This window comes from Homo sapiens, chromosome 11, assembly GCF_000001405.40.
Source record: "Homo sapiens chromosome 11, GRCh38.p14 Primary Assembly".
Classification (NCBI taxonomy): domain Eukaryota; kingdom Metazoa; phylum Chordata; class Mammalia; order Primates; family Hominidae; genus Homo; species Homo sapiens.
Genome location: NC_000011.10, coordinates 46,200,730 through 46,208,914, shown reverse-complemented (window position 1 = coordinate 46,208,914; position 8,185 = coordinate 46,200,730). Strand labels below are relative to the sequence as shown.

Sequence of the window (8,185 nt, the reverse complement as noted above, 5' to 3'; positions counted from 1 at the left end):
TTCAGTCTTTGATCCAGTGATTTCATTTCTAAGAAGCAAATGAGGCCAGGTGTGGTGGCTCACGCCTGTAATCCCAGCATTTTGGGAGGCCGAGGCAGGCAGATTACCTGAGGTCAGGGATTTGAGACCAGCCTGGCCAACATGGTGAAACCCCGTCTGTACAAAAATACAAAAAAATAAAATATAAAAATAAATAGCTGGGCATGGTGGCAGGCTACTTGGGAGGCTGAGGCAGGAGAATTGCTGGAACCCAGGAGGCGGAGGTTGCAGTGAGCAGAGAACACACCATTGTGCTCTAGCCTGGGCAACAAGAACGAAACTCCGTCTCAAAAAAAAAAAAAAAAAAAAGAAGCAACGGAGACCAGGCATAGTGGCTCACGTCTGTAATCCCAGCATTTTGGGAGGCAGAAGTGGTTGGATCGCCTCAGACCAGAAGTTTGAGACCAGCTGGGCAACAGAGGGAGACCCTATCTCAAAAAACAAAACAAAACAAAACAAAACAAAACACAACAACAACAAAAGAAGCAGCAAAGGAAATAACCCCATCTGTGAAAAAGCTTCTTGCTTTCATAAAAGCTTATTTATTATGCCATTATTTATATAGGGAAAAGTTGGAAATAACCTTACTATATTAAAATAGAAGTAATCTGTGACAGTGGTTCCCAGGCTTTTTGGCACCAAGGACTGGTTTCGTGGAAGACAATTTTCTCATGGATTGTGAGGTGGGGGCAGGGGATGGTTTTGGGATGATTCCAGTGCCTTACATTTATTGTGCACTTTTTTTTCAACTCACTTGCCATTATAAAGCTTGACACCAGTTGCAGCTTAATTGTCACTTGCCACTCACTGATAGGGTTTTTTTGTTTTTGTTTTTGTTTTTTGGAGACAGTCTCACTCTGTTGCCCAGGCAGGAGTGCAGTGGCGTAATCTTGGCTCACTGCAACCTCCGTCTCCCAGGTTCAAGCGATTCTCTCATCTCAGCCTCCTGAGTAGCTGGGATTACAGGCATGTGCCACCATGCCTGGCTAATTTTTGTATTTTTAGTAGAGGTGGGGTTTCACCATGTTCGCCACGCTGGTCTCGAACTCCTGACCTCAGGTGATCCACCTGCCTCAGCCTCCCAAAGTGCTGGGATTACAGGTGTGAGCCACCATGCCCAGCCACTGATAGGGTTTTGATATGAGTCTGCAAGCAACTGATTGACTATGGTCTCTGTGTGGTCAAACCTCTCTGCTAATGTTCATCTGTATTTACAGATGCTCCCAGTGCTAGCATCACTGCTTCAACTCCAACTCAGATCATCAGGCATTAGATTCTTATAAGGAGCATGCAACCTACATCCCTCGAATGTGCAGTTCACAGTAGGGTTCGCACTCCTATGAGAATCTAATGCTGCTACTGATTTGACAGGAGGCAGAGCTCAGGCGGTGATGCGAGCTAGGAGTGGCTGTAAATACAGATAAAGCTTCCCTTGCTTGCCTGCCCACTGCTTGCCTCCTGCTGTGCAACCCAGTTCCTAACAGGTCACAGACCAGTTGGGGATCCTTGATTTATGATATTGGATAGCCTCTTACAAGGTATTAAAAATGATGTTTGCTCATAGAAAAATATACTAAAATGCCAGTAGACATTTTAATTAGAAGGATTACGGATGATTTTAATTTTCTTCTTTGCAATTTTCTATATTTTCCAAAATTTCTACCATCAATTATTATAATTAGATAAGAAGTTTATTTTTATTTTATTTTTTAAAATTTTATTTATTTATTTTTGAGACTGAGTCTTGCACTGTCGCCCGGGCTGGAGTGCAGTGGCACGATCTCGGCTCACTGCAACCTCTGCCTCCCAGGTTCAAGCGACTCTCCTGCCTCAGCCTCCCGTATTTATTTATTTTTGAGACAGAGTCTCGCTCTGTCACCCAGGCTGGAGTGCAGTGACGCGATCTCAGCTCACTGCAACCTCTGCCCCCGGGTTCAAGCTATTCTTCTGCCTCGGCCTCCTGAGCAGCTGGGATTACAGGCGCCCGCCACCACGCCTGGCTAATTTTTTGTATTTTTAGTTTCACCATGTTAGCCAGGATGGTCTCGATCTCCTGACCTCGTGATCCACCTGCCTTGGCCTCCGAAAGTGTTGGGATTACAGGCGTGAGCCACCGTGCCTGGCCAATGTCTATTTTTTTTTTTAATTCTAGCCATCCTAGTGGGTATGAAGTGGCATCTCACTGTAGTTATGATTTTCATTTCCCTACTGACTAATGATCTTGGGCATCTTTTCATTTGTTTACTGGTCATTGGTATATCTTCTTTGGAGAAAAAAATATTTAAATCCTTAGCCTATTTAAAAAATAGTTTATCTGGGCCGGGTGTGGTGGCTCACACCTGTAATCCCAGCACTTTGGGAGGCCGAGGCAGGTGGATCACGAGGTCAGGAGTTGGAGACCAGCCTGGCCAACATGGTGAAACCCCATCTCTACTAAAAATACAAAAATTAGCTGGGCGTGGTGGCGAGCACCTGTAATCCCAGCTTCTTGGGAGGCTGAGGCAGGAGAATCATTTGAACCCAGGAGGCAGAGGTTGCAGTGAGCCGAGATTGTGCCATTGCACTCCAATCTGGGCAACAGGGTGAGACTCCATCTGAAAAAAAAAAAAAGTTTATCTTTTTATTGTTGAGTTGTAAATGTTCTTTATAAATTCTGGACACTAGTCCTTTATCAGATATATGATTTGCAAATATTTTCTCCCATTCTGTGGGTTTTCTTCTCACTTTATTTATTTTTTTTTTTGAGATGGAGTCTCACTCTGTTGCCCAGGCTGGAGTGCAGTGGCGCGATCTCGGCTCACTGCAAGCTCCACCTCCCGGGTTCATGCCATTTTCCTGCCTCAGCCTCCGAAGTAGCTGGAACTACAGGCACCTGCCACCACGCCCGGCTAATTTTTTTTTTTTTTTTTTTTTGTATTTTTAGTAGAGACAGGATTTCATCATGTTAGCCAGGATGGTCTAGATCTCCTGACCTCGTGATCTGCCCGCCTCGGCCTGCCAAAGTGCTGGGATTACAGGTGTGAGCCACTGCTCCTGGCCTCTTCTCCCTTTTTTGATGGTCTCCTTTGAAGCACAAGTGTTTACATTTGATGAAGTTCAATTTATCTGTTTTTTCATTTTAGTTTGTGCTTTTGGTGTCATATGTAATAAACCATTGCCTAATTCAAGCTCATGAAGATTTACGCTTATGTTTTCTTCTAAGAGTTTTTGTAGTTTTAGCTTTTACATTTATGTCTTTGATCCATTTTGAGTTAATTTTTGTAGACGGTTTGAAGTAGGGGTCCAACTTCATCCTTTTCCGTGTGGTATCCAGTTGTCCAAGCACCATTTAAAAAAAAGACCATTCTTTTTCCATTGAATTGTCTAGACATCCTTGTTGCAAACCAATTGACATAAATCTAAAGGCCAGATGACATTTTTGTCTTAATTTCTAGCCTCATCAGACCTCTTAATTTGCCAAGCTTTCCCCATCCTTGATGCTTTTGTAGAGACTGGTTCCTTGCCTGACATCCACCTGTCTTGGTAGCTGACCCTCCTCATTCTCCAGACATTACCTGTCTCCACAGTTTTCCTTTGTCCCCTAGGCAGTCAGATTCTGCGGTCTAGGAGCATTTTGCTCATACCTCTGTCATTGCTCTATTCACATTGTATTGAAGTTATTTATTCATTAGTCTGCCTGGATACACTCAGAGATCTCCAAAAGCAACCAAGTCTTACTTCTCTTTGAAGCGCATAGCACAGGACCTGGCACTTAAGAGGTATTTTGTGAACGGTAGTTGAATGACCATTGACAGAAGTATCTGCAAATTGGGACTCTGCTGAGGACTTCAATGGCAAGAGAAAAGGGCCAATTATTGGATCCCCGCTTCCCCTCTTCTCTCTTTCTCCAAGTCCAGAGAACAGTATTCAGGCATTTGTTCAAGAAGTTTTAAATAAGTATCTATTATGTGCTAAGCTAGATGCTAGGGATCACGTGGTGAGCACAAACAGCCATGCCCCTTCCTTACTGATGTGTAGAGTGGGTGATGTGTGTAGTAGGTGAAATCAACATTAGCCAAATAATCATATAAACATGAAAAATGGGAGCACCTGTCGTCAAATTGTCTATTGTGTGGTCTTACCTGCCTGCTCACGTGTTTATTGATAATTTGGCCACCTGGCTCACTGACTTTCTCTCCTGCTGTCACTGTCATGGTGAATTTAAGATCCACATACATGGCCACGCATCATCTTGCCTCCATTCTTTTTTTTTCCTTTTTGGGACAGAGTCTCACTATGTTGTCCAGGCTGAAGTGCAATGGCACGATCTTGCCTCACTGCAACCTCTGCCTCCTGGGTTCAAGTGATTCTCCTGCCTCAGCCTCCTGAGTAGCTGGGATTACAGGTGTGCGCCACCACGCCCAGCTAATTTTTGTATTTTTAGTGGAGACGGGTTTTCACTGTGTTGGCCAGGCTGGTCTCGATCTCATGACCTGATGATCCACCCACCTCAGCCTCCGAAAGTGCTGGGATTCCAGATATGAGCCACCGCACCTAGTCACCTTGCCTCCATTCTTGATGCCTCCATGCCATGATGCCTCCTCCACTCCACCTTAGCCATAGAGCCCCACACAAACCTCATCATAACCACAGCGCTGCTCAAGTTTCCCTTTCAATCATCCTGTTAGACTGTGGACACAGGTATTCCTTACTCAGTTGTCTTAGAACTCCCATTTCAGCAATTTCCTACCCCTGTTGGGGTCTTCAGTCCACTGACCCCCCCACCGCTTTTTCACTGTCCTTCACCACCCATGACCCAGGCCCTTCATTTCCTCATTATGCCCCAGTGTCCTCATCGCTCTGTAATTGCTCCGTAACACCGTTATAATACTCTTGCCCTGCTGCACTCATCTGCCACACCCCAACCCTGCTTCAACTCAAGGGAGAACTTAACTTTTCGTGCCTCCATCTGGGCACTGGAACATGGCTTGAAGAAAATACCCACAGCTGCCCAGACACGCCTCATTTTATACTGAAGTCTGCCAATAAGTGGCTGTTTTTGCATTGCCCAACAATCCTACTTCAGTATCTCAGGCACTCTGCCTCTCTTCAAGCCGTTTTATACCTTCTCTTTCTTTAACTCTAATATCCTTCTCTTGCCTGGTTCTCAGCTGATGATCTCATCTTCCTATTCACGGAGAAAATAGAGGCCCTCAGAATGCTCATTACCCACTGCTAAACTTACCCACTTCCAACCGCTGTATGTGCAGGCCCTGCCCTCCCTCGTATTGCAAATTGCAAACCATCCTTATGCGTGTACAATGCCCATCCCTCCCCTGGGGTCCTGAATCCCGTTTGCCCTCACCTATTCAAGGACTTTGATGAAATGATCTCTCTCATGAATCACTGACGTCTCCCTCTCTATGGCGCTTTACCTTTCAGCACACAGGTATGCTGTAATACTTACCATCTTCAAACAAAACACAAACCAAAACAGAAACACCTTCCGTAGAACTCATTGCTCCCTGGCTCTTTGCACTAGCTCTGTGTTCCTTATTGTAGCAAAATTTATCAAAAGAGTTGTCTACGTGTCCCTCCAGCCCCATTTGGTCATTTCCCAATTTGCTGCCTCAACGCCAGCCACATCAGTTCATTCTTTGGACTTACCAAGTTCATTCCTGCCCCAGGGCCTTTGTACTTACCAAGTTCATTTCTTTGCCCTTGCTGTTCCTTTTGTCTGAAATAGTCTTTCCATGCATCTTTGCATGATTTGCTCCCGCATTTCACTGGGGTTTCTGTTTAAATGTCACCTGCTCAGAAAGGCCTTTTCTGCTGTCCCTCCCCCTGCCACCACACTTGTCCTTATCCAGCTTTATTTGTCTCTGCAGGACTTACCACTGCCTAATAGCCTATCATACGTGTATGTGTCTATTTGCTCATCGCCTCTTTTTCTGTTCAAATGGAAGTTCCCTGGGGGCAGGGCTTTCTTTTGTGCACCATTGTATTCTCTGGTGAAAGAATCCTGTCTAACATATACTAGGCACTTGGTAAGACTGAATTAATGAACGGATGGCTTTTCACGATTCTATGAATGCAGCAGGGCAAGGGTATTATAAGGGTATTATGGAGCAATTACAGAGCGATTATGACACTGGGGGCATGGTAAGGAAGAAACTAAGGGCCCGGGTCATGATTCTCTGAGGACGTATAAGGGAGAGAAACACAGAGGAAGCTTCCCTGAGGAAGTGTGATCACACTGACTCCCTTCCTCCCCTCTTAAAAAAAGAGGGGGTCTGCCAGGTGAGGCAGAGAGGGACAAGTCTTCCAGACCAAAGGCATGTGCAAAGTCCTGAGGCCGGAAGAAGTGTTTTGGATTTGACCAGCTGAGAGAAGGCCAGCATGGAGGAGAGGGAATGAGAGTGAGCTGCTGCTTGGCGGCTGGGGGGTGGGGGAGAAACAAAGCCATGCAGGGCTTGGAGGGCTGAGCAAGGCTCTTGCCTCTGTCCTAAGAGCAGTGGGAGGCCTTGGACACAAGGCTCTGTGTGATTAAATTTACATTTGAAAAGATCCCTCCAGGCACGATGATTCATACCTGTTATCCCAGTGCTTTGGGAGGCTGAGGCGGGAGGATAACTTGAGCCCAGGAGTTTGAGACCGACCTGGGAAACACAGCAAAACCCCATCTCTACAAAAAAAATACCAAAATTAGCCAGGCGTAGTGGTGTGTGCCTGTAGTCCCCGCTACTTGGGAGGCTGAGGTGGGAGGATTGCTTGAGCCCAGGAGGTCGAGGCTGCAGTGAGCCAAGATAGCACCGCTGTATCCCAGCCTGTGTGACAGAGCAAGACCCTGTCTCAAAGAAAAATAAAGTAAAATAAAATAAAATAAAGTCAATCAAAGTTACTCTCCCTTCCTCTCCCAATAAAAGAGCAAGTGCTCCTGTGAGTCTTGGGTCTTGTTCTCATTTTGTTTTGTTTTGTTTTGTTTTGAAATGGAGTCTCACTCTGTCACCCCAGGCTGGAGTGCAGTGGTGTGATCTCAGCTCACTGCAACCTCCGCCTCCCAGGTCCAAGCAATTCTTGTGCCTCAGCCTCCCAAGTAGCTGGGATTACAGGTGTGCACCACCACACCTGGCTAACTTTTGTATTTTTAGTAGAGATGAGGTTTCACCATGTTTGCCAGGCTGGTCTCAAACTCCTGACCTCACATGATCTGCCCGCCTTGGCCTCCCAAAGTGCTGGGATTACAGGCTTGAGCCACTGCACCTGGCCTTGTTCTCATTTTGGAGGGTGGGCAGGAAGGCAGAATGAAGGCTGAGGCCTTGGTCTTCTGGGAGCCAAGGGCTCAGGGCCAGTTCTTTCTGAGTAGAATGTTCTTTAGTGAGACAGCCCATGCTGGGCTGCCTCTCGCTGTTGTGTCCCCCGAATGATGAGGAAAGAGCAGGGAAACCCGCCGAGTATATGACCGGGAAACACAACCTGGGGAAGGCAAGAGACTGGGGACAGACAAGGGCAGATGAAGATTCTCTGTTTAATGGATGATAGGAGGAAACGTGCCTGTGTACACACAAACACACACAAGGACGTTCCCATCAAGTCCTCCTCTGAGTCCAATCGGAATGTGGGCAAAGGAACTTGGTGTGACCTTGCCAATGGACCTACGGGCCTTGGGAAGTCCTAGAACTCTCCTGGAGAAAAGCAAGAAGAGAGGGTGACTTTCTGGTGACGACTGTGGAGAACGGTCAGAAAAGAGACAGTGGAGCGAACTCTAGGGACCAGGGAATTGACGGCAGTCAGCCGTCAGGACTGGGAACATCAGTGAGTCACGTTCTCTCCCTTTGGTATTAGTAATTGGCATCATTTGGCTGGGAAACAAAAGGCTGAGGCATGATTTTATAACTGCTTTCAAGTAGGGAGGGTTTTCCTTTGGAAGATGGTCATGAGCTGTTTTCAACCCTTGCAGGGGAGAACAGCTCATTCCCATGCTGGGTAGAGATTTCAAGAGCTTTTCAGCTTAATTATAAGAATGGTCTGACCCTGGGGCTGGCTCTTGATGATGACCCAGGAAGGTCCCAGAGTGTCCTGAGGCCCGAGTACCAGGCTTTGGAGGTGGGAATCCCACTGGAAGTGTGTGGTCCTGCTCCACAAAGCCCTCTCTTCCAGGTCTTAG

General features: G+C 46.5%; 1 annotated feature.

Moving 5' to 3' along the window:
- Positions 7,190-7,693: an enhancer, noted in NCBI's record as "H3K27ac-H3K4me1 hESC enhancer chr11:46222773-46223276 (GRCh37/hg19 assembly coordinates)". NCBI's record gives its function as "activates a minimal SCP1, AML or CMV promoter by ChIP-STARR-seq in naive H9 embryonic stem cells {active_cell/tissue: H9 hESC(naive)}" and the evidence as "EXISTENCE:reporter gene assay evidence [ECO:0000049][PMID:30033119]".